At 43.0% G+C, this 26,160-nt stretch overlaps 1 protein-coding gene and 1 pseudogene across 1 annotated transcript, besides 1 other annotated feature; one reads left to right on the forward strand and one right to left on the reverse strand.

The window, feature by feature from the left end:
- Positions 1-4,948: 4,948 nt before the first annotated feature.
- MRPL15 (mitochondrial ribosomal protein L15) lies at positions 4,949-18,222 on the forward strand. Its single transcript, NM_014175.4, has 5 exons — positions 4,949-5,099; positions 6,219-6,373; positions 6,976-7,141; positions 12,371-12,494; positions 17,090-18,222. Exons 1-5 carry the CDS (start codon positions 4,992-4,994, stop codon positions 17,425-17,427), a joined length of 891 nt encoding a protein of 296 aa, NP_054894.1. The 5' UTR covers positions 4,949-4,991; the 3' UTR covers positions 17,428-18,222.
- Positions 10,804-11,004: a silencer, noted in NCBI's record as "peak7022 fragment used in MPRA reporter construct". NCBI's record gives its function as "represses an SCP1 promoter by STARR-seq MPRAs in K562 erythroleukemia cells {active_cell/tissue: K562}" and the evidence as "EXISTENCE:reporter gene assay evidence [ECO:0000049][PMID:32103011]".
- Positions 22,515-22,590, reverse strand: RNU6ATAC32P (RNA, U6atac small nuclear 32, pseudogene; annotated as a pseudogene).

The following is a 26,160-nucleotide window of genomic DNA, read 5'->3' on the forward strand; positions in this document are numbered from 1 at the left end:
CAAGAATTAGATGTTTAAAGTACTTAGATTACATAATTTAAATTACAAAGTTTACCACGAGAGAAGAAAAATTTTAGGAAGAAATAGCTTAAATTACCTAAATCTTCATTTATCATAAGACAAGAGAATATACAATGCTAAAAATTGATAAAAGGCTGGGTGTGGTGGCTCATTCATGTAATCCCAGCACTTTGGGAGGCCGAGGCAGGAGGATTGCTTGAGCCCAGGAATTCAAGACCAGCTTGGGCAACATGGCAAAAACCCGTCTCTACAAAAATTACAAAAATTAGTTGGGCATGGTGGCGGATACCTGTAGCCCCAGCTACTCAGGTGGCTGAGGTGGGAGGATCACTTGAGCCCAGGAGTTCAAGGTTGCAGTGAGCTGTGATCAGGTCACTGCACTCCAGCCTGGGTGATAGGGCGAAACTTGTCGTCTCAAGGAAAAAAAATGAGCCAGGCTCAGTGGCTCAAGCCTGTAATCCCAACACTTTGGGAGGCCAAGGCAGGTGGATCACCTGAGCTCAGGAGTTGGAGACCAGCCTGGCTAACAAGGTGAAACCCCATCTCTACTAAAAGTACAAAAATTAGCTAGGCATGGTGGCAGGTGCCTGTAATCCCAGCTACGTGGGAGGCTGAGGCAGGAGAATCACTTGAACCCAGGAGGCGCAGGTTGCAGTGAGTCGAGATTGTGCCATTGGACTCCAGCCTGGGTGACAAGAGCAAAACTCCATCTCAAAAAAAAAAAAAAAAGAAATGATAAAAAAATTAGTGAAGTAGACATTTTATTAATTTGTAAACAAGGAGGCAATCATTAGAAGAAACAAAAACAACATTAAAAGTGATTGCTTATGGGAGTGAAACTAGAAATGGAATAGGAAACAACTACTTCTCATTATAAGCCCTTCTGTACTATCTGATTTTTTCAACATATGTAGGCATTACAATACTTCAATAAAATTAAAACCTATTTAGGTGTGAATAAAGACCTTTAGGTTGGAACCAAGTTTTATCAAGGCAAAATTAGTTAAGTTTTATCAAGGGGACATTTATTTCCAGCCCCTTTCCATGCCCTCTTCATAGCCTTCTCTCAATATTAGTTTTCTCCCAATATCAAAGGGATTCATTGTTCTCCTGCCTCTGGCTTTCTCCCACCTTCACTTAGGAATATTGCTTCTCCAGTTATTTTCTGCTCAACTTTTTTTTTTTGAGAGGAGTCTTGCCCTGTTGCCCAGGCTGGAGTACAGTGGCACAATCTCAGCTCACTGCGACCTCCTCCTCCTGGGTTTTAGTGATTCTCCTGCCTCAGCCTCCTGAGTAGCTGGGACTACAGACACCTGCCACCATGCCCAGCTAATGTTTGTATTTTTTGTAGACATGGGTTTCACCATGTTGGCCAGGCTTGTCTCAAACTCCTGACCTCAAGTGATTCACCCACCTGGGCCTCCCAAATTTCTGGGTTTACTAGGATTACAGGTGTGAGCCACTGTGTCCAGCCTATTCCCTTTTATTTTCATTTCCCAGTCCCCTTCTCTGCTAATCCTGAAATTTTCTTTTTTTTTTTTGAGATGGAGTTTCGCTCTGTTGCCCAGGCTGATCTTGGCTCACTGCAACCTCTGCCTCCTGGGATTTCAAGCAATTCTCCTGTCTCAGCCTCCTGAGTAGCTGGGATTACAGGCTCATGCCACCATGCCTGGTTAATTTTTGTATTTTTAGTAGAGACGGGGTTTCACTATGTTGGTCACACTGTTCTCGAACTCCTGATCTCGTGATTCGCTCACCTTGGCCTCCCAAAGAGCTGGGATTACAGGCATGAGCCACCGCGCCCGGCAAAAAAACTTTTTTTTAGAAAAATAATTAACTCAAAGGAATTAATCTATGTTAACACACTGTCAGGTGCTGATATATATATAGATTGGGGAAGATTTCGTGGCAGTGTGTGAAGTCTTCCAAAGCAGTTCAAATTGTATCACTTCATTCTTTTTTTTTTTTTTTTTTCAGACAGAGTTTTGCTCTTGTGGCCCAGGCTGGAGTGCAATGGCGTGATCTTGGCTCACCACAACTTCCGCCTCCGGGGTTCAAGCGATTCTCCTGCCTCAGCCTCCTGAGTAGCTGGGATTACAGGTATGCACTACCACTCCCAGCTAATTTTGTATTTTTATTAGAGATGGCGTTTCTCCATGTTGGTCAGGCTGGTCTCGAACTCCCAGCCTCAGGTGATCCGCCTGCCTTAGCTTCCCAAAGTGCTGGGATTACAGGCGTGAGCCACTGCGCCCGGCTTCATTGTTATTATGTAATGATTCAGCAGTTATTATCAACTGGGGTTGGAATCAGGATGGACCTTAAATAGTTGTTGAGATATTAATGTTTTTATTACAAGTTCTTGTTAACTTGATTTAAACAGGATTTAGCACATCCCAAGCATGTAGGTGGGTAATAAATATGACTTGTGCAATTATGAGGATGACATAAAACTACTATATACTTAAGGTAAGGATTGTTGACTTATTGACCACACACCCTTAATTTACATTCTTACAACACAAACGAAACTCATCAAATTATTTTGACAGTTTTATATGCTTAATCAACATGTTGGATATGGGATAAACAAACACGTAGCCTACAATTAACTGTCAACAATTGTTATTCCCATTATTATTAACTGATGTCCACCAATAACATTATATAACCCATACGACTTCTACTTCCAAGAAGTGCAGCATATTTCTTGTATTTTATTTATTCAATAAAAAAATTTTCCATGATAAAAAACATTACTGGCATTAACACTTAATCAAGAAGTTCATTACTTAATGCAAACAATGATTTTTTGGGGATTGAAAATAATTGTGCACTTTTCTGTAGATTAGGGTACAGTTTGCAATTATATTTTGCAATTTTCTTCCCAAAGGTAGGAAAGTTTAATAAAAACACAATGAAAACTACTGAATTAAAAATCACTAAAGGCAGGCTGGACTCAGTGGCTCACACCTGTAATCCCAGCACTTTGGGAGGCCAAGGCAGGTGGATCATTTGAGGTTAGGAGTTTCAGACAAGCCTGGCCAACGTGGTGAAACCCAGTCTCTACTAAAAAACCAACCAAACAAACAAACTAAAAAAGCTGTACGTTGTGGTGCATGCCTGTAATCTCAGCTACTGGGGAGGCTGAGGCAGGAGAATCGCTTGAACCTGGGTGAGGAGCCTGCAGTGAGCCGAGATGGCGCTACTGCACTCCAGCCTGGGCGACAGAGTGAGATTCCATTTCAAACAAACAAACCAAAAATCATTAAAGGCAGAAAATAGGTTCTATTGCCCCCCACACCCCATTCTATTTCTTCTGTGCTTCTAAATAGAGTCTAGACTTTACCATCATATCATTTTATCGAACTCACATATTTTGTTTTTGCTAATTAGTCTACAAGAGGCCTACTTTTATCTTTAACTTTTAAAAAACATTCACGGGCCAGGCGCCGTGGCTCACGCCTGTAATCCCAGCACTTTGGGAGGCCGAGGCAGGGGGATCACCTGAGGCCAGGAGTTGGAGACCAGCCTGGCCAACATGGCGAAAACCCGTCTCTACTAAACATACAAAAAAAAATTAGCGGGGCGTGCTGGTGAACGCCTGTAATCCCAGCTACTCAGGAGGCGGAGGCGGAAGAATTGCTTGAACCAGAGAGGCAGAGGTTGCAGTGAGCTGAGATTGAACCATTGCACTCTAGCCTAAGCAACAGAGCGAGACTCTGTCTCAAAATAATAATAATAATAATTCACTTTTGGAAACTGTTCCCTACTAGATTTCAAACAACTTGGGAATGAAATCCTATTTGAGTTCATCCATGTGTATTTCCAACAAGTTCAGTGTCTTACTTATAAATAGTACTTGAAGGAATGAATACAACTTTTTCTTTATGTAGTTATTTTACACTTGATTTAAAGGAACTTTAAAAAGACGCAGTTATACCTAGAGACAGACGCCCTCCAAAAATTGTCTCACCTTCATTATTTGTGATTACTAGTTAGAGCTAGCAGAAAAAACTCCCCAGCAAGTGAAATGTCAAACCACTACTAAAAGAAAGAAAAAGAAAGGAACAGTCTTTTCTATATTTAAGTCACTTGAGAGAAAAAAGAAGAGCTGGTATTTTTCGAGTAATAATGTTCGTATTTTGTGATGCAGATACTCAATTTTACATTCTAAAAATACTACTTTTATAGTAGGAAGCAGTGTACGTTTGAATCCTGGCTCTGCCGCTTGTTGCAAGAAGTTGGTCAAGCTATCGGACCTTGCTAAGCCTTCCCTGTTGTAACTGTAAAATGTAGTAACACCATTTACCTCTAGAATGGCTGTAAATCGAGTAAGGCTTATTTAATACAGCGTCTGGCATACACCAGGCATTCAGTATGGCGCCAGTCATTAACAATAGGTGGTTACTAACTGCGATTCACTCAAAACAATACAGATGCACACGGATGAGAGTTCACACTTTGAGTCTTATTCAAAGATTGGTTATTAGCCAGGCATTTTGATAGGTGCACTCAGTTTTATTTTCGTACCTCACGGTGTATAATTACGCAAGCTCAAAAGCTAATAATTGACAGCTCACTTTGCTTTACTCTGGGTTCTGCATTGACCTCAGAGAAGACACGGCCTAGACAAACAGGCAAGGCCCAACACTGACTCAAAAAAGATCCTTTATTTAACGCAGTGTTTTTAGTGCATGCTCTCGTTTGGCGAAAGAGAAGGTTTTACGTTCAGAATATTAAAAGGGACCCCGAGGACAAAGCAGGATCTCGGAAAATAAGATCACATCCCCAAACAACTAAAAGGACAACCGAGACAAGGTTGCAGACTCCCACGCCTCTGCCCGACTCCCGGGCTTGCGCGCGCGGCTGCAGCGCGACAGGGGCGGGGCCACGGCCACAAAGCAGCCCCCGAGACCACGTGGCCTCCGAGCAGCTCAGGGCGCCCTTGAAAGTTCTTGGATCTGCGGGTTATGGCCGGTCCCTTGCAGGGCGGTGGGGCCCGGGCCCTGGACCTACTCCGGGGCCTGCCGCGTGTGAGCCTGGCCAACTTAAAGCCGAATCCCGGCTCCAAGAAACCGGTAAATGGGTGGTGGCGGTGCGGGGAAGCGCTGGGGACCCGGGCGATGAAAGCGGCCCTTCTCTCCCTGTCATTAGGAGAACTGCCCTTTCTAGGAGAGTGTTGGGATGAAAATAGGATTGCCTCATGCCTGTTCTCCCTTACTGCCCAGAGGGGAATCTTTCCACGTGCACCCAGTTCTTTTTTTTTTTTTTTTTTTTTTTTCCGAGACGGAGGCTTGCTCTGTCGCCCAGAAGCAATTCTCCTGCCTCAGCCTCCCGATTAGCTGGGATTACAGGCGCCCGCCATCACGCCCGGCTAATTTTTGTATTTTTAGTAGAGACGTGGTTTCACCGTGTTGGCCAGGCTGGTTTTGAACTCCTGAGCTCGCGATCCGCCTGCCTCGGCCTCCCAAAGTGCTGGGATTACAGGCGTGAGCCACCGCCCCCGGCCGCACCCAGTTCTTAATAAGGTTATGTTTACAAGTGTAAAGATACCAGGCGGAGAAGCCGACTCGCTGAAACTACAAAGTCTTTGTGTCATTCAAAATTGGATTTAAAATGAAATGTTTTCCCGGTGTATCTTTATGTTCATTGGAAAGATCTGAATTGCAGCTGTCCCTTCTGCAGTTGACTAAATAGAGCTAGAAAAGCTGTTAGTTGACAATGTACTGTCATTTTAACAGTCAGTTCATTGCTTTCGTGAAATGACAGGAAATTAAGGAAAAGATTTTCTTCAACAGATCAGTTTTCAAATAAAATTACAGGTTTATGAATAACATTTGCATATTTACAATTAATTTCAGAATAAATTCTTGCCTATCATTTAAAATGTTGTGAATATTTAATTCTAGGATTTTTTTCGGTTTCAACCTATTATAAAAACCTTATCCCCATCCTAACCTTTACTTTTTGCTTTTGAAACACACTTGGACTTTGGTTACAAGAATTAGCTATGTCTTTAGAGGCAAAGATGCTAACAGAGTGTGTGGAGCTTTGAGCAACTAGGACATGCTTGACACAATAGTGTTAGCTAGCACTGGTGGGCTGGATGAATGAACAGCATAACAAAAAGTGAAGAGCTGAAATGCAGTTTTTAGAAATGCATCTGAAATTCATAAAATTCTTTTTTTTCCTTGCAGGAGAGAAGACCAAGAGGTCGGAGAAGAGGTAGAAAATGTGGCAGAGGCCATAAAGGAGAAAGGCAAAGAGGAACCCGGCCCCGCTTGGGCTTTGAGGGAGGCCAGACTCCATTTTACATCCGAATCCCAAAATACGGGTTTAACGAAGGACATAGGTAAGGTTGCTTTGCTTTTTAAAGTACAGGTCCCCAATTTCCATTAAAAAGCACCTAAAAATAGTTTGGTAGAAATTTTGGTGGAAATTGTAAATTCACTTTGAAGCAAACTTTTGCTACTGTTCCCCTGAACCATTTTTTGGTAATGAAATCTTGCCTGGATTATTAAAAGGAAAAGAGGCCCAGACACTGCACTTAGACCTGCAAAATGGAGATTCTAATGCCAGCTCTAATGGTTATTAAAAGAGTGAGCAATAATAGACAGTATACATAAAAATCTGGCCCACTGTAGTCACCTAATAAATGATAACTACCATTATTACTTTGAGCTCCATAGTAAGTTAAATTTTCCACAGATTTATTTGTGTAAATAAGTGAAGTAAATGCTTAGAGAGGGAAATAATTTTTAGTGGAACAAAGGTGGTACAGGTTTGTTTTCATTACCCAAAATCAAGCAGTATTACATGTTTGTGTTACACTCAAGAGGGTTTTGTTTAGTTAAATAAAATTGGTGGAGGAAAACACAAGACAAAGCTTTGAGTTGATTTCGAGAAGTTACAGGAAGATGAGAGTTTTCCAACTCTTACATTCTTGTTTTACAGTTTCAGACGCCAGTATAAGCCTTTGAGTCTCAATAGACTGCAGTATCTTATTGATTTGGGTCGTGTTGATCCTAGTCAACCTATTGACTTAACCCAGCTTGTCAATGGGAGAGGTGTGACCATCCAGCCACTTAAAAGGGATTATGGTGTCCAGCTGGTTGAGGAGGTAAGTCTTGATTAGATCTTTTGGTGTTATATAGGAGGATTTTTTTTTTAGACAGAGTCTTGCCCTGTTGCCTGAGCTGGAGTACAGTGGCGCAATCTCGGCTCCTGCAACCTCCACCTCACAAGTTCAAGTGATTCTCCTGCCTCAGCCTCCTGAATAGCTGGGATTACAGGCACCCACCACCATGCCCAGCTAATTTTATTTGTTTTTAGTAGAGACAGGGTTTCACTATGTTGGCCAGGCTGATCTTGAACTCCTGACCTTAAGTGATCTGCTCACCTCGGCCTCCCAAAGTGCTGGAATTACAGGTGTGAGCCACCATGCCTGGCCCGTAGGAGATATTTTTGATTTCCAGATAATCAGTACTCTACCCCCTTTATTTTTAGCCCATTTGTGTTTATAACTGTTATGTAGTGGTGATAGCTGTGGTTTTGGAAAGCTGTCATACTATCATGGCAGGGCTCTGTCCCTTGGTCCTGGAATGCTGCTCTTCTGCATATCTGTAAAGCTTGCCTTCTTTTTTTTTTGTTTTTGTTTTTGAGATGGAGTCTCGCTCTGTTGCCCAGGCTGGAGTGCAGTGGCACGATCTCGGCTCACTGCAACCTCTGCCTCCTGGGTTCAAGAAATTCTCCTGCCTCAGCCTCCTGAGTAGCTGGGACTATAGTCGTGCGCCACCACACCCGGCTAATTTTTTATATTTTTAGTAGAGATGGAGTTTCGCCATATTGGCCAAGCTGGTCTTGAACACCTGACCTCGTGATCCACCCACCTTGGCCTCCCAAAGTGCTGGGATTACAGGCGTGAGCCACCGCCCACGGCGCCCCCTTCTTTTGGTTCTCTGCTTGAATGTCAACATATCAGGAAGATCTTTTTTTTTTTTTTTTTTTTTTTTTTTTAAATAGAGATGGAGTCTCACTCTGTCTCCCAGGCTGGAGTACAATGGCGCGATCTCAGCTCACTGCCAACCTCTGCTGCCCAGGTTCAAGCTATTCTCGTGCCTCAGCCTCCTGAGTAGGTGGGACTACAGGTGCGTGCCACCACGTCTGGCTAATTTTTTTTATTTTTAGTAGAGGTGGGGTTTTGCTATGTTGGCCAGGCTGTTCTCGAACTCCTGACCTCAGGTGATCTGCCCGCCTCAGCTTCCCAAAGTGCTGGGATTACAGATGTGAGCCACCCCGCCTGGCCAGGAAGGTCTTTTTTGAGAGTCTTTTTAAAAGAGCACTTGCCCTGCTTCAGGAGTCACAGTGTTTCCTTTACTCTGCCCAAAGTATTTTTCTTTGAATATATATGAGCACTTGACATTTATTACCAAGTTATGCATTTGTTTTCATTGTCTTCCTCACTAGAATATAAGCTCCCTTGAGGGCAGGTGCTTTGATTCATTGCTTTACTTTCTTCTTTATTTTTTTTGAGACAGTATCTCACTCTGTGGCCCAGGCTGGAGTACAGTGGTGTCATCTCAGCTCACTGCAACCTCTTGTCTCCTGAGTTCAAGTGATTCTTCTGCCTTAGCTTCCCAAGTAGCTGGGATTACAGGCACCTGCCACCAGGCCCAGCTAATTTTCTGCTTTTTTTTTGTTTTTGGAGATGGAGTCTCACTCTGTCACCCAGGCTGGAGTGCAGTGGCACGATCTCGGCTCACTGCGATCTCCACCTCCCGGGTTCAAGCGATTCTCTTGTCTTAGCCTTCCAAGTAGCTGGGATTACAGGCATGTGCCACCATGCCAGGCTAATTTTGTATTTTTAGTAGAGACAGGGTTTCACCGTGTTGGTTAGGCTGGTCTTGAACTCCTGACCTCAGGTGATCCGCCTGCCTCGGCCTCCCAAAGTGCTGGGATTACAGACGTGAGCTACCCGTCGGCCAAATTTTTTGTACATTGTTAATCAACTACTGTTTGCCAATAATACAGTTGTATAAGTAAGTTAGTGTCCACTAGAGGGAAGCATATATTTATGAAAAAACCTTTCAGATTCTTTTGAAAAAGTGAACTGTATGGATAAAAACTTTCCAAATAAAGTAATTTGAAAAGAGAATACCAAATACAAGATTAAGCCTCAGTATTCTACCCTGAGTGTATATAAAGAAATACACATGTAACTTAACATATGGAAATCCATGACCTTATCAGCCCTTAAACTGCACATCCCAACATCCTTAGGTGTTGTCTATTAGATTAATAAAAATAACCCTGAAAACTTTACCCCAGGGCACTGGTCAAGTAATTGCAATGACACATTATTTATAGCTCTGTTAACTGATTTACTTCTGTGATTTCAGATTTGTAGTAAATAGTGAATAATAAGACAGTTTTGATCCTTTAGCACAAAATTATCAATTTGGAAACATGTTCTCAAGGAAAAGCAAAATGAAAGAAACCTGATATAAAGATAGTCCTAAAAATGCTATTTATACTACTGAAAATACTGGAACTGACACCAATGCCCCCAAATAGGGAGATGGTTAAGCAAACTATGGATTGCTTAAAAATCACAAATGATACAGCAAGACCCTGTTTTATTGAATCAAAGGTACTGTTGATTTTAAACATATACCAGTATTGGATATAAAAAAAGTGTGAAAATGCATCTTAGAATTGATGGAATATTTTTGAAATACATGAAAAATTAATAATAGAAGGAGCTAAACTGGGAGCCACTTTCTTTCAGCTTCATGAAAGCTTTCTATTGCCATAGAGTGGTAATGCTGCCATCTTTTTGCTTTTATCAGAATCTGCTTTGAAATTAGAGAAAAATATAGCACATCCTGACTGTGACCAAAAATTTAACGTTTCAGAGTTCAGAGCTACATTTTCCTTTTTTTTCTGTCTTTTTTATTTTTTTTGAGATGGAGTCTCGCTCTGTTGCCCAGGCTGCAGTGCAATGGCACAATCTCGACTCACTGCAACCTTCACCTCCACCTTGGGTTTAAGCCATTCTCCTGCCTCAGCCTCCCGAGTAGCTGGGATTACAGGCACATGCCACCATGCCCGGCTACATTTTGTATTTTTTAGTAGAGATGGGGTTTTACCATGTTGGCCAGGCTGGTTTCAAACTCCAGACATCAAGTACTCCGCCCTCCTTGGCCTCCCGAAGTGCTAGGATTGAGTCACCGCACCCGGCCTAGAACTACATTTTCTTTTCTTTTTTTTTTTTTTTTTGAGATGGAGTCTCGCTCTGTCACCCAGGCTGGAGTGCAGTGGCGCGATCTCGGCTCACTGCAAGCTCCGCCTCCCGGGTTCACACCATTCTCCTGCCTCAGCATCCTGAGTAGCTGGGACTACAGGCACCCGCCACCATGGCCGGCTAATTTATTTATTTTTTTGTATTTTTAGTAGAGACAGGGTTTCACCGTGTTAGCCAGGGTGGTCTTGATCTTCTGACCTCGTGATCCACCCGCCTTGGCCTCCCAAAATGCTGGGATTACAGGCGTGAGCCACTGCGCCCGGCCTAGAACTACATTTTCTAGTGTTGACTATTCTAGGAAAAATTGGAGGTTTTTTTTTTTTCAGCTTAGAGGCTATAATAAAGTCAATAGTGAATGCAAAGTGAAATTTCTATTGTCTTTTTTTCCCTAGTGAGGCCAACTTCTCCAAAGCTCAGATTTTGTCAGATTTTCTGTTCTTCCACCTGCTCCAGCCTGCATATTCCCCTGTTTAACCTCCTGCTGGCCTCTTGCTTACTTAGGGATAAGGAAGATTAGTTTTTAATCTATGTTTGACAGCATAATGTTGTGGTTAAGAATACAGATACTGTGACTAAACTCCCTGGATTAGAATACTTGCTTTGTGACCTTGGGCAATGCAACCTCTGTGCGTTGGTATTTCCATCTATGAAGTCGGTATTTCCGTCTATGAAAGTCGGTATTTCCGATCTATGAAAGTTGGTATTTCCATTTATGAAGTCGGTATTTCCATCTATGAAGTCGGTATTTCCATCTATGAAGTCGGGATAGCAATAATCCTATCATAAGGTTGTTATGAGGATTAAGCAGCCTACTATTAATGAAGTCAGGAATGAATGCTTAGTAGGTGTACATAAAATGGAAATGTAGTCAGTCTTACTTACACGGATTGAAAATTAGTAAAACAAGGTAGCCTAAATAAAATGTTAAAAAAAAAGTGATAGGACCTCAAAGCAGAGATATTTAAAATAGGAATTATAGTCGTCCCTTAGGATTGGTTCCATGACCGCCTCCTCTCACTACAATCCAGATGATCAAGTCTCTAAGATGGCCTAGTATTTGCATATAACCTGCCACATCCTCCCATATACTTTAAATCATCTCTAGATTACTTATAACATGTAATATTAGGTTGGTGCACAAGTAATTGTGGCTTTTGCCATTGAAAGTAATGTAAATACTATATAAATAGTTGTTATACTGTATTTAAAAAAGAATTGTTTTCTTATTGTTGTATTGATTTTTTTTTTTTTTTTGAGATGGAGTCTTGCTCTGTCTCCCAGACTGGAGTGCAGTGGTGTGATCTCAGCTCACTGCAGCCTCTGCCTCCCGAGTTCAAGTGATTCTCCTGCCTCAGCCTCGAAATAGCTGGGATTACTGGTGCCTGCCATCATGCCCGGCTAATTTTTGTATTTTAAGAGACGGGGTTTCACCATGTTGGCCAGGCTGGTCTCAAACTCCTGACCTCAGGTGATCTTCCTGCCTTGGCCTCCCAAAGTGCTGGGATTACAGGCATGAGCCACCATGCCTGGCCTTATTTTATTTTTATTTTTATTTGAGACGGAGTTTCACTCTTGTAGCCCAGGCTGGAGTGCAATGGCGCGATCTCAGCTCACTGCAACCTTCCCCTCCCGGGTTCAAGCGATTCTCCCACCTCAGCCTCCTGAGTAGCTGGGACTACAGGCACGCGGCACCACACCCAGCTAATTTTTTGTATTTTTAGTAGAGATGGGGTTTCTCCATGTTGGGCAGGCTGGTCTTGAACTCCTGACCTCAGGTGATCCACCTACCTTGGCCTCCCAAAGGGCTGGGATTACAGGCGTGAACCACTGCGCCCAGCCTTATTTTTTATTATTACTTTTTTTCCGAAAATTATCCATTCAAGTTGGTTGACTCACAGATGTGGAACCCACAGATATGGAGGACTAACTGTATTGTTATGTTATAGGCACTTTGGAGGGAAAAACACTGTCTAAAAAGGAAGCTTGACATAATTAATTTACTTTTAGCCAAGCTGTTTACCAACAGACTGTTTTGACATATTTCAGGGTGCTGACACCTTTACGGCAAAAGTTAATATTGAAGTACAGTTGGCTTCAGAACTAGCTATTGCTGCCATTGAAAAAAATGGTGGTGTTGTTACTACAGCCTTCTATGATCCAAGAAGTCTGGGTAAGTTTGTTCCACGGTCATTTTCTTCTTTCTCTCTTTGTCTCATGTTGGCTACTAATTTTAAATTACTTAGTGAATGGCAAATGTTGGTAGTAGTTTGGATGTAGTATTGATCTACATCTACCATATGGATTATTATGATTTAAAGAATACAGCCTGTTGCTGACACATACACCAAGGGCAAAAAAGGCTCTCAGCCCCTCCCCTGAACTGTAGACCTGCATCTGCCTGCCTGGCCAATTCTCTAGAATGTCTAGCAGGGACCTCAAATATAGCATGTCTGAAATGTCTCTTTTCTCTCTTTTTTTTTTTAAGACAGAGTCTTGCTCTGTTGCCCAGGCTGGAGTGCAGTGGCGCAATCTCTGCTCACTGCAACTTCTGCCTCCCAGGTTCAAGCGATTCTCCTGTCTCAGTCACCGGAGTAGCTGGGGTTACAGGTGCCTGCCACCACACCCAGCCAATTTTTGTATTTTGGCTAGAGGCGGGTTTCAGCATGTTGTCAAGGCTGTCTTGAACTCTTGACCTCAAATGGTCCACCCTTCTCAGCTTCCCAAAGTGCTGGGATTACAGGTGTGAGCCACCACGCCCAACCCCTCTTTTCTCTTTTACCTCAGCCTGGCTCTTCTTGTAGTCTTCCCTATGTAAGTAAATGACAAGTCCATCCAAAATTTGGAGTCCTGAACTTTTTCTTTTATGCCCTCATAAATCTTTTGAGTTGTTTCTTCAAACTGTGTCCACATTTGACCACTTCTCCAGCTACTGCCAGTCTGTCCTAGCCACTGTCCTCTTGCCTGGATGACTGTGGGCCTTCAGGTTGCCTCTCTGTTTTGCTTCCATCTGCAGTGGAGTGACGTGGCACAAGGTTCCTTTTAAAGCATGGACTGTCACTCCTTTGCACAAAACCTGCAGTGGTGTCCGTGCTGCTCCTGCAAGGCTGGCTGTGATCTGCACCAGCTCTTGTCCCTCCTGGTGTTCCCCTGCTCCCTCCATTCCCTTACTGGCCACCGGGTTTGGCCTTCCTCCATACACCGAGCCCTGTGTACTGTGTACTTCAGCCTCGGCCTCTGCTGTTCCTCCTGCCTGGAGCTTCCCCCACTTGGAATATTCATGGCTTTGGGCCCCACTGTTCCAGGTCTCTGCTTATTAGGAGATCTTTCTCACCTGTACTAAATAAAAGAGCATATGTACACACATGCACATGCATGGTGTGCACACGCACACACGCACAGTCACATCCTGTCCCCTTGCCCTGCATTGTGTTTGCCCTTGGCAGCTATCACCAGCTGACAAAGTATAAGTTCATTTCTCTTTCTCTGTTCATTCTTTCTTTCCCATCTCTCAGGATGATGGAGACCTTTTGCTACCTGCTGTATCTCCTGCACATAGAGCGATGCCTGGTATCTAGAAGAGGCTCACTTAAATTTTGTTGAATAAATTAATTGGATTTTTCAAGTTGCAGAGATGACAACCAAATGTAACTTGTTGACTAAATGCTCTACAAAGGATTCTTTGATGCTTTTACATTCAAATGGGAGTTAAACATTTCCTGGCCAAATTGCATGATTAGAAGAAAATTCTTTGAAAATTAATATATAAAAGGGAAAAAGGGAAGGATTTGTGTCATCTGTATGTAGAGTTTGAAACAAATAACTACCATTTCCTTTTTCCCATAATTGAAAGCTTTTTAAAAATATTCATCAAAGGCCGGGCGCAGTGGCTCATTCCTGTAATCCCAGCACTTTGGGAAGCCGAGATGGACGGATCACATGAGGTCAGGAGTTCTAGACCAGCGTGGCCAACATGGTGAAACCTCATCTGTACTAAACATACAAAAATTAGCGGGGTGTGGTGGCAGGCGCATGTAATCCCAACTACTCGGGAGACTAAGGCAGGAGAATCCCTTGAACCTGGGAGCAGAGGTTGTAGTGAGCTGAGATCGCTGAGATCGCGCCACTGCACTCCAGGCTGGGTGGCAAAGTGAGACTGTCTCAAAAAAAAAACAAAAAAAATTTGCCAACATGATGATTCCGTTTTCCCTCTAGTTTATTATAGATGAGCATCTTTTCTTATTTTGGTCCATCACTCAGTTTTTAGGGTAGGCTGCCTCAAATATGAAAACCAGCATTTTTAAAAGAGTCACAGACATTTTGGAAGGACTTTGGTGTTAGTGTGTTTTTCAGTGATTGTTACCACAGAATGTGGTGGTGGAGTTTGTTCTCTAGCCAGATGCCCTCTGCCACACTGAGCTGGCATCTTCAGAGGCACCCTCAGCCTTGATGCTCTTGTGCGTGGCTCTCTGCAGCAGCTCTGCAGGTTGTCCCAGGATCTTTTTGTTTAAAAAAGTAATAAAACAAATCCAATCACAGGCTTATCACTTATTAGCAATTTTGCCTCTGAATAATTTACTTTGTTGTACTTTAGTTTTCCAAGTTATAGAAAATTTTTTGCACCATGGTCTCACTCTGTCACCCAGGCTGGAATGTAGTGGTGTGATCAAGGCTGACTGCAACCTCCAACTCCTGGGCTCAAGTGATCCTCCCATCTCAGCCTCATGAGTAGCTGGGACTACAGGTGTGTGCCACCATGCCTGGCTAATTTGATTTTTATAAAGATAGGGGTCTTACTGTGTTGCCCATGCTGGTCTCAAACTCCTGGTTTCAAGTGATCCTTGGTGTGAGCCACCATGCCGGGCCAGAAATTTTTTTTTTTTCTTTTCATTTGAGATGGTCTTGCTCTCTCAGGCTAGAGTGCAGTTCCACTCACTGCAATCTGAAACTCCTGAGCTCAAGAAATCCTGCCACCTAGGCCCCCTGAGTAACTGGGACTACAGGTGCATGTCACCATGCTAACTTTTTTTTGTTTTATGTTTTGTAGAGATGAGGTCTCACTATGTTGCTCAGGCTGGTCTTGAACTCCTGCGCTCAAGCAATTCTCCTACCTCCCAAGGTGCTGGCATTAAAAGCATGAGCCATTGTGCCTGGTCTACAAATTTCTTTCTTAAATATATTTTGAAGATACTTTCTTGATGATTCAAGGACATCCACTATTTACTTACCCTCTGTTGTAGGTGAAGTAGGTAGGATGGTTTATCCAGAGCATGACCTGGCTTTAGGTGGCTCTGCTTTATAATTCTTGGTCTCGACCCTTAGCAGATAGCTTCCAGTTCTCATTTCTGTGAGTGGCCTGCCTGGAGTACCTCCTAATCACCATTTCTCATTTGCCCTGTGTGGAGATACTGCTAGGTGATGCAATATATTAGAGCTGTATAAAACAGCTGTCAGATTCTTGCATTCAGCAAACAGCCAGAGGCTAGTGTTTGCTAGATACTGTTCCAGCTGATGGAGAGACGATAGTGCAAGAGTCAAAAGTCCTTTCCTGGCCGGGCGCAGTGGCCTCACGCCTGTAATCCCAGCACTTTGGGAGGCCAAGTGAAGTGGATCACCTGAGTTCAGGAGTTCAAGACCAGCCTGGCCAACATGGCAAAACCCCATCTCTACTAAAAATACAAAAATTAGCTGAGCATGGTGGTGCATGCCTGTAATCCCAGCTACTTGGGAGGTTGAGGCAGGAGAATCACTTGAGTCTGGGAGGCAGAGGTTGCAGTGAGCCGAGATCATGCCACTGTACTCTAGCCTGGGCGACAGAGCGAGACTTTGTCTCAAAAAAAAAAAAAAAAAAGTCCCTTCCTTCACAGAGCTTACGCCCTGGTGGGTGATAGTTAACATCTGTCTCATTGTATACCAAATACTATACATGTGTGAATGGATTCTGTGGATTACATCAGGTAAACTTTGTAACTGCTCTGTGACATATGTACTATTATTTTGAGGTTCTCAGTAATTTCCTTAGTACTGTTTTGATTTCTGTAACCAGCTTTGGTTAAGGTTGCATTGCTAACACGATGAGTAGAGTGTCAGTTGTATTCATACAGTTATCTATTTGTGTAATTGCTTTCTAAGCTATCTAAAGGCCCTGTGGCATCTGTGATATCTTGTGCGTAGGCCTTTTTTTCACTATCTCACTTTCAGAACATGTGTCTCGGGTCCTTTAAAATGTTTGAAAACAGAACTGGGGTTATGCAGCATTCCTTGGTTTGTTTCACATAAGATTTCTTTGCCTGCTCTTTAGTTAAGATAACTCATTTTAGTAAAATTGGTTTTCCAGATACAGGTATGGTTGCTCATGCCTGTAATCCCAGCACTTTGGGAGGCCCAGGTGGGTGGATCACCTGAGGTCAAGAGTTCCAGACCAGCCTGACCAACATGGTCAAACCCCGTCTCTACTAAAAATACAAAATGATCCGGGCGTGGCGGCATGTGCCTCTAATCCCAGCTACTTGGGAGGCTGAGGCAGGAGAATTGCTTGAACCCATGAGGCAGAGGTTGCAGTGAGCCGAGATGGTGCCATTGTACTCCAGTCTGGGCAACAAGAGTGAAACTGCGTCTCAAAAAAAAAATAATAAAAATTAATAATCAAGAGAAACTCTGTAACATCTCTATGGTACAGAGTTACATCTCTATGTTAGAGTTACATCTCTAGGTATGTCTATGAGCTAATATTTGCATCTCACTTTTTAAATTTAAATTTTCTTTTAGACATTGTATGCAAACCTGTTCCATTCTTTCTTCGTGGACAACCCATTCCAAAAAGAATGCTTCCACCAGAAGAACTGGTACCATATTACACTGATGCAAAGAACCGTGGGTACCTGGCGGATCCTGCCAAATTTCCTGAAGCACGACTTGAACTCGCCAGGAAGTATGGTTATATCTTACCTGATATCACTAAAGATGAACTCTTCAAAATGCTCTGTACTAGGAAGGATCCAAGGCAGATTTTCTTTGGTCTTGCTCCAGGATGGGTGGTGAATATGGCCGATAAGAAAATCCTAAAACCTACAGATGAAAATCTCCTTAAGTATTATACCTCATGAATTCCCGTCCAAGGAAGCAGAGTTGTTAAAGAGTACTGGAATAGGGGCTGAAGGATCTATATTCCCTTATTGCATTTTCCTTATGTATAATTTTCCAGATGGTGATGTTACTTTTCAGTGTACTCATATGTCTCATTTTCATCTAAAATTAAATGGCAGGAAACAAGGACTGCATAGAGAAACTGAGTCTGTGTGGGTTCTGTCTCAAAGATACAAACTCCCTGATAGTCTATGGAAGGAAAATGACAACTATTTTAGAATATTTCTAGTTTGTTTTTTCAGTGATCTTTTCATCCAGGCCTTGTTACTGTTACAGATCAGAATGAAATGCACAAGTGGAATGGGATTGACCTGTAGGCCTGCTCTGCCGAGATGAGAGCAGATGGAATGAGTTGGTGACCCCTCTTAATCTGTAGCCTCAGGGAAACACGGCTACCCAATGCCAAGATGGTAAACCCTCAACTCGAAGAGTAAGATCAGGACGTATGCTTAAGGTGTAAGGCTGAGGAGTAGCTGGTAGGCAGTATGTTTGCCAGTGACATTGAAGGTGAGAGAAACAAAAATTACAAATGAATTTATTTTCTCAATTCTGTGGTAGAAGTGTTACAGGCAGGCCTTTGTTCTTAGAGCTCCCAAGATGGTGGTGGCCACTCCCAAGATGGCAGCAAGCCTTTTGTTCTCTGACCTGGGGTTCTTGGCCTCACGGATTCCAAAGAATGGAACCTTGGGCCATGTGGTCAGTGTTATAGCTCTAGTAGAAGTCATGGGTCACGGAAGAGAACTGTGGAACCCAGTGACTAGTGTTCAGCTCGATTAGGATGAACCCTGGGCCCTTAGCCATGCAGGAACAATGGTGAGCCTCTAGCCCGATTGGGAGCGGCAATGGACACCTCTCTGGATCAGAAGCACAGCGGACACCCTGCTGGATCCAGTGGGTGGAAGTCAATGGTGGGTCTGGGACAGCAGTGAACAGCAGTGGTGGACAGTGAGCGAAAGCTCAGCTCGAGCTGTAACAAACACAGACCAGAAGAGTGTGCAGTTGCAAGATTTAATAGAATGAAAACAGCTCCCATACAATGGGAGGGGATGCAAAGGGGGTTGCCCACTTCCTGCTCAAATGCCTGGGTTTATATCCCAATCATTGTCCCTACCCCTGTACTCTCAGGCGATATGTGATTTGACTATTTCTCTACTTCCTGCTTTTAGCCTAGTTTGTATTTTAGTGAGCCCTCTTTGCTACCTGATTGGTCGGGTGTGAGCTGAGTTACAAGCCTCGTGTTTAAGGGTAGGTGTGGTCACCTTCCCCAGCTAGGCTTAGGAATTCCTAGTCGGCCTAGGAAATCCAGCGAGTCCTGTCTCTCAAAAGTAGACAATCATGATTAAGCCATTAACATATTTTTCTTGAAGAAGGTAAATGTTCTAGTATTAATTGATATCCTTTTACTTATCTCAGACATTGGAGACCTTCATCTTTCAGTCATTACAACTGATTTTGAAAAAATGGTTCAAATATTATATGAGCAATACAATTGATAATGTGAGAATTAAGCTTAAGTTAATGTAAAAGATTCAGCAGTTAATAAGTTTTTTTTTTTTTTTTTTTTTGAGGCAGTCTCCCTCTGTTGCCCAGGGTGGAGTGCAGTGGTGCAATCTCAGCTCACTGCAACCTCTGCATCCCGGGCTCAAGGGAGCAGTTAGTATGATTATTTAGCTTCTGAAAGATACTTTATATCCAAATCATATGAAGGCTTAATTTACATTGAGCAATTAAAGATTGATCTTGAATAATTCATAATTCTTCCACAGTAGAAATAAAATGATTCCTGGCTAGTTATTTTCTTAAAAATAAAAAAAATTTGAAAACCTCAACAATGCAATATTTGTTTTGTTTGCTTATCGATCTCATATATTGCTCTTCTGAGATTCTATTTACAAAATAATTTATGTACCAAGATTATCTTTCAATTTTTTTTTTTTTTTTTTTTTTTTGAGACGTAGTTTCTCTGTTGTCCAGGCTGGAGAGTAATGGCATGATCTCAGCTCACTGCAACCTCTGCCTCCCGGGTTCAAGTGATTCTCCTGCCTCAGCCTCCTGAGTAGCTGGGATTATGGGCATTTGCCACCACGCCTGGCCAATTTTTGTATTTTTAGTAGAGACGGTGTTTTGCCATGTTGGCCAGGCTGGTCTCGAACTCCTGACCTCAGCCTCGGCCTCTCAAAGTGCTGGGATTGCAGGCGTGAGCCACAGTGCCCGGCCTCTTTCAATTTTTATCCAGGATTATATAATTGACTTGTTATTAAACGATTCCTTAGAACCTAGGACTTGTAAAGAATCATGACTGGGACCATCTTTTTTTTTGGGGGGCGGACACAGTTTTGTTCTTTTTGCCCAGGCTAGAGTGCACTGGTGTGATCTCAGCTACTGCAACCTCCACCTCCTGGGTTCAAATGATTCTGCTGCCTCAGCCCGAGTAGCTGGGATTACAGGTGCCCGCCACCACACCTGGCTAATGTTTTGTATTTTTAGTAGAGATGGGGTTTCACTATGTTGGCCAGGCTGGTCTTGAACTCTTGACCTCAGGTGATCCGCCTCGGCCTCCCAAAGTGCTAGGATTGCAGGCGTGAGCCACTGTGCCCAGCCGACCATCTTCTATAATAACACGAAATCCTGTGAATTTTAAAGGACAGGCAAAAATTTTAAAACATGCTTTTATTTTTCAGAGACCCAAGTGACGGAGCTGGTGTGTTAGCATTCATTTTGGATCCACTGATAGGATCCCCAAATCACAGTGCTTGAATGAGATAGTTTATTTTTCTCTTGTGCACGAAGAGCTGCGATCAGTTGAGGGCTGGTTGCTGGATCTGCTTCACAAAGTCTCAGCCCCAGGCACCCTCATTCCTAGAGTGAGATACTCATTTTCATGATCCAAGCAGGCAAAGAGCAAGCCTGCTTTTCCTAAGGAAGTTTCCACACAAAATTCTTGTTTATATACCATTGGCCAGAACTTGGATGCAGTCCCATTATTTCAAAGGAGGTTGAAGCCTTTACTTTGGCCGCTTCTGAGCTGAACTGAAAAATTCTATTATAATGGGTGCATAAGAGAGTAGATGTATTAGACAACCAGCAAGGTAATTGTCACCTGTGTTGGTATTGAAACCTCAACTCTGAAGTTAATTGACTTAACATCAGACAAACACAGGAAAAGTGCAGAATTATTTAATTCTATACCATCTGGAATGCTAGGTTCAGTAAGTTGTGTAACAGCCAATAAGTTGATTATTAATCTTGATTTACAAAGTATTTTTGAAGAGTGATGATGTCAGAGGCATTTGACCCACAGGACTCCATCTTGAACAGGGGCTGGGTAAAAGACCTACTAGGCTGCATTCCCAGGTGGTTAGGCATTCTTAGTCACAGGATGAGATAGGAGGTTGGCACGAGGTTCAGGTCACAAAGACCTTGCTGATAAAACACGTTGTGGTAAAGACGCTGGCGAAATCCCACCAAAACCAAGATGATGAAAGTGACCTCTGGTCGTCTCCACTGCTCATTATACACTAATTATAATGCATTAGCATGCTAAAAGATACTTCCACCACAACATGACAGTTTACAAATGCCATGGAAACGTCAGGAAGTTACCCTATATGGTCTAAAAAGGGGAGGAGCCCTCAGCTCTGGGAATTGGTCACCCCTTTCCCAGAAAACTCATGAATAACCCACCCCTTGTTTAGCATATAATCAACAACCATAAAAATAGCTAGCTAGCAGCCCATGCTGCTGCTCTGCTTATGGAGTAGCCATTCTCTTATTCCTTTATTATTATTACTATTATTTTTGTTTTTTGAGATGGAGTCTTGCTCTGTTGCCCAGGCTGGAGAGCAGTGGCGCGAACTCAGCTCACTGCAATCTCTGCCTCCCAGGTTCAAGCAATTCTCCTGCCTCAGCCTCCTGAGTAGCTGGTAGCTGGGACTACAGGCACCTGCCACCACGCCTGGCTCATTTTTTGTATTTTTAGTGGAGACAGGGTTTCATGGTGCTAGCCAGGATGTTTTCTTGATCTCCTGACCTTGTGATCCGCTTGCCTCGGCCTCCCAAAGTGCTGGGATTACAGGCATGAGCCACCGCACCCAGCCTCCTTTACTTTCTTAATAAACTTGCTTTCACTTTATGGATTGACTCACCCCAAATTCTTTCTTGCCCAAGATTCAAGAACCTCTTGGGGTCTGGATCGGGACCCCTTTCCCGTAACAATGACAAAGCACAGGAAACCATCTGAGAAGAAGCATTCACTTTGTTCTATGCCTGCTTTTAATAAACATTTTTAATAATAAAGCCATCTTCCTATGTTAAATATTTTACAAAGTGTCTTTTTTTTTTTTTTTTTTTTTGAGACGGAGTCTCGCTCTGTCGCCCAGGCTGGAGTGCAGTGGCGCAATCTCAGCTCACTGCAAGCTCCACCTCCCCAGGTTCATGCCATTCTCCTGCCTCAGCCTCCCGAGTAGCTGGGACTATAGGCGCCCGCCACCACGCCCGGCTAATTTTTGTTTGTTTGTTTGTTTTGTTTTTGTATTTTTAGTAGAGACGGGGTATCACCATGTTAGCCAGGATAGTCTCGATTTCCTGACCTCGTGATCCGCCCGCCTCAGCCTCCCAAAGTGCTGGGATTACAGGCGTGAGCCACCATGCCCGGCCTTAAATATTTCAAAAGTCCTATTTGCATATAACATAGGGAGGAAAAGAGAGGATAAGATACAAAGAAGGTTGCTAAGAAAAGCGCCAAGGTACAAAGAATGTGTTTTTGGCCAGGCGTGGTGGCTCACGCCTGTAATCCCAGCACTTTGGAAGGCAGAGGTGGGCGGATCACCTCTGAGGTCAGGGGTTCGAGACCAGCCTGGCCAACATGGTGAAACACCCGTCTCTACTAAAAATACAAAAATTAGCCGGGTGTGGTGGTGCGTGCCTATAATCCCAGCTACTTTGGGAGGTTGAGGTGGGAGAGTCACTTGAACTTGGGAGATGGAGGTTGCAGTGAGCTGAAATTAAAAAAAAAAAAGAAGAATTCTTAGAGTACAGTGAGATGAAGATAAAAACATAGTGAGATGCCAGGAACTCTGTGTTTGTTAAGGGGAGGGCTAACCTTCTCTCCTTTCATACAACACATTTTCTGAATATTCATTATTGGGGTATTTAAATTGCGCTCTCTTATTCTTAAGCCATTTAAAATGGAATCTATTAGACAAATCACTTCATCTTTTAGACTGTAAAATACAATGACAAGCTTTGTAAAATATGAGGACTGTGTAAAATGACCTCTAAAGTCTGTTGTAATACACTGATGATAAAGATGTTCCCTTGGGCTGAGGAAAACTTCTCTGACCTCAACCTATTTGCATAGAAATGAACTTCCTTAAATTTAAACACATCCTGTGTTCTGTATTCATGTAAGAGGTTCCATTTTTTTCATATCAGAGTGTACTGGCTTTGCTTTAGGTAAGTTACTGCCTTGCCTTATTTGTGCCACAGGAGGTTTTCCATTTGTGATTCAGTTCACAATTGTATGTTTGGAGGGGCTGGTACTGCCTCAACAGGAAAAGTTCTTAATGGGGAACAAGGGAGGAAGTTAGTCACCTAAAGATAGACTGCACAGGCAACAGCCTTCCAGGCTCAGAGTGACCCTTGGGTTCCCTCCCCCATCCTCCAAGTAGAATGACTACACTACCCTAACAACAGTTACGGAAGGGAAAAGAGACAGTCAAACATTAGACTTACTTCACTGTGGTTGTCTTAGGTGGCCTACAGGTGAAAGGAAATTGGGAAAGAATGATAAAGGAAAGAAAGAAAACAGGAAACAGATGTCTGGTGATGAATAATGCTCAGATAGTACTTACTCAGTGAGCATGGGCTTAGTCACAAACAGCTGTATCCTGGTCTCAATATTAGAATCGTGCAGATAAGTTCTCAGCCAAAACAGGCACGTTCCACAAAATCTGTCTATTCTGTTTAATAAAGTTAATCCTCAAATTGCTGTATAGCCGGGAGACTCAAGTTCATTGTAACTACGCAGCAATACTGGGCTCTATGATGCTGATATACCATGGCCCTTCAGCCGTGTACAAGGATAATGGGGCAGAGAGTGTGCTAGCAGATGGTATTGTTATCTTGTTAAGGGTTCATATTACTTGGAAATCTAAGAATAAAAGTAAGAATGCTTCAGTCTAGATTTTAGTCCTCTCGTGGTATGTGGCTTCCAGTATATGTGGCTAGTTTGCATCCAATCCATTGAGTTAATATGGATTTTAAAATATTTTTTTAACTCCTTAGAGAAATAATTGCTAGGGATTTCCTGTCTATTGAGTTCCCGGGTTTTCTTTTTTAAAAATGCTACTCTCTGTTCTTTGACAATGAGAGTGGCTCTACCATAGCCGGGGAAGATGTCAGATAACAGCAGTGTAACCCAATTTAGTTCGTGTCAGAGAAAAAAGTGCGCTCTCTGATGTTCGCACAGATCCCAGAATGGCTGCATTTTGATGCTTTACTGAAAAGACATAGCATGGTTGAAGTAGCACAGCTTCCATGTCACCAAACCTGGATTTGAATCCAGGCTCTGACAGCAGCTGTGTGACCTCGGGCACATCACATAACTGCTGTGCTCTCATCTGTCTCACATGTGAAATGGAGATAATCATACCCACCTCTGTGCTTCTGTGTTTGGGAGACCCAGTGAGGTTATTTGCGGGGAGACACGAAGCTCAGCCAGTTTGCAGAGCCACCTGGAGCAGTTTACTTGGGCTCAGATGCCAAGACTAGCTGTGTGACCTTGATATGTTACTTAATATCTCTGCCTCAGTCTCACCATCTGAAAAATGGGGGATGATTAATCCTAATGCATATGGGTATGAAGATTGAAAGAAGTCAATATTTGTAAAGCACTTACCATAATGCCTGACACATAAGTGCCTCTGTAAGTGTTCATAAATCAAGTTTTTTTTTTTGAGACAGAGTCTCGCTCTGTCGCCAGGCTGGAGTGCAGTGGTGTGATCTCAGCTCACTGCAAGCTCCGCCTCCTGGATTCAAGTGATTATCCTGCCTCAGCCTCCTGAGTAGCTGGGATTATAGGCACCTGCCACCACACCCGTCTAATTTTATATTTTTAGTAGAGACAGGGTTTCACCATTTTGGTCAGGCTGGTCTTGAACTCCTGACCTTACATGATCCACCTGCCTCAGCCTCCCAAAGTGCTGGCATTATGGGCGTGAGCCACCATGCTCGACCTCACTTGGCATAATGTTTTGAAAGTTATCCATGTGGTGGCATGTTCCAGTACCTCATTCTTTTTTATGGCCAACTAGCTTTCCATCGTGTGGAGTGTGTATGCATTCATCAGTTGGTGGACATGTGGATTGTTTCCATGGTGGGGCTATTATAAATAATGCTACTGTAAACATATGTTTGCAAGTCTTTATGTGAACATGTTTTTCTTTTTCTTGGGAATATATTTAGCAGTGGAATTGCTGAGTAGATTAGCAAATTTATGTTTAACTTTTTTTTTTTTTTTTGAGACAGTGTCTCACTGTGTCACCCAGGCTGGAGTGCAGTGGCACCATCTTGGCTCACTGCAACCTCTGCCTCCCGGGTTCAAGCGATTCTCGTGTCTCAGTCTCCTGAGTACCTGGGATTACAGGTGCGCACCTCCATAGCCCACGTAATTTTTTTGTATTTTTAGTAGAAATGGGGTTTCACTATGTTGCCTAGGCTGGTCTCGAACACCTGGCCTCAAGTGATCCACCTGCCTCAGCCTCCCAAAGTGCTGGGATTACAGGTGTGAGCCACCATGCCTGGCCCATGTTTGACTTTTAAAGAAACTGCCAAATTGTTTTCCTAAGTGGCTGCACCATGTTACTCCCCCACAAGAAATGAATGTTCCTGTTTCTCACATCCTTGCCAACATTTGTTATTATCTGCATTTTTGATGATAACCATTCTAGTGGGCACGAAATGGTTTCTCATTGTGGGTTTGATTTGCATTTCACTAATAATGATGTGGAACATGTGGAATGAGAATAGCTTCTTGGCCATTTGTATGTAAGAGACTTCATATTCTTCTATGTACTTGAAATTTTATAAAGATAATTCTGATGATTATCGAGCATCCATATATATAGGAGTTTTTAAAAGCTTTATCTGTTCATCTTATTCAATCCTCACCAGACCCTTTTATTTATGCCATTTTATAGTTGAAAAAAATTGAGGCACAGAGAGGTCAAGTATTTAGTATGAGGACATCTAGCTCGAAAGAAGTATTAGGGCTAAGATTTAAACCCAAGTCAACTGGCTCCAGAGACAATGTTCTTTTTTTTTTTTTTTGAGACGAAGTTTCACTCTTGTTGCCCAGGCTGGAGTGCAGTGGCACGATCTCCGCTCACTGCAACCTCTGCCTCCCAGGTTCAAGCGATTCTCCTGCCTCAGCCTCCCAAGTACCTGGGATTACAGGCATGCACCATGCCTGGATAATTTTGTATTTTTAGTGGAGATGGGGGTTTCACCTTGTTGGTCAGGCTGGTCTCGAACTCTTGACCTCAGGTTATCCGCCCGCCTCAGCCTCCCAAAGTGCTGGGATTACAGGTGTGAGTCACTGCACCTGGCCTATGTTCTTGGATACTAGACAAACAGTTGTTATATACACATAGTACATTAAAATGATTTAAATGTTTTTATTATAGTAACATTTA

Source organism: Homo sapiens, chromosome 8 (assembly GCF_000001405.40).
Source record: "Homo sapiens chromosome 8, GRCh38.p14 Primary Assembly".
NCBI classification, from domain to species: domain Eukaryota; kingdom Metazoa; phylum Chordata; class Mammalia; order Primates; family Hominidae; genus Homo; species Homo sapiens.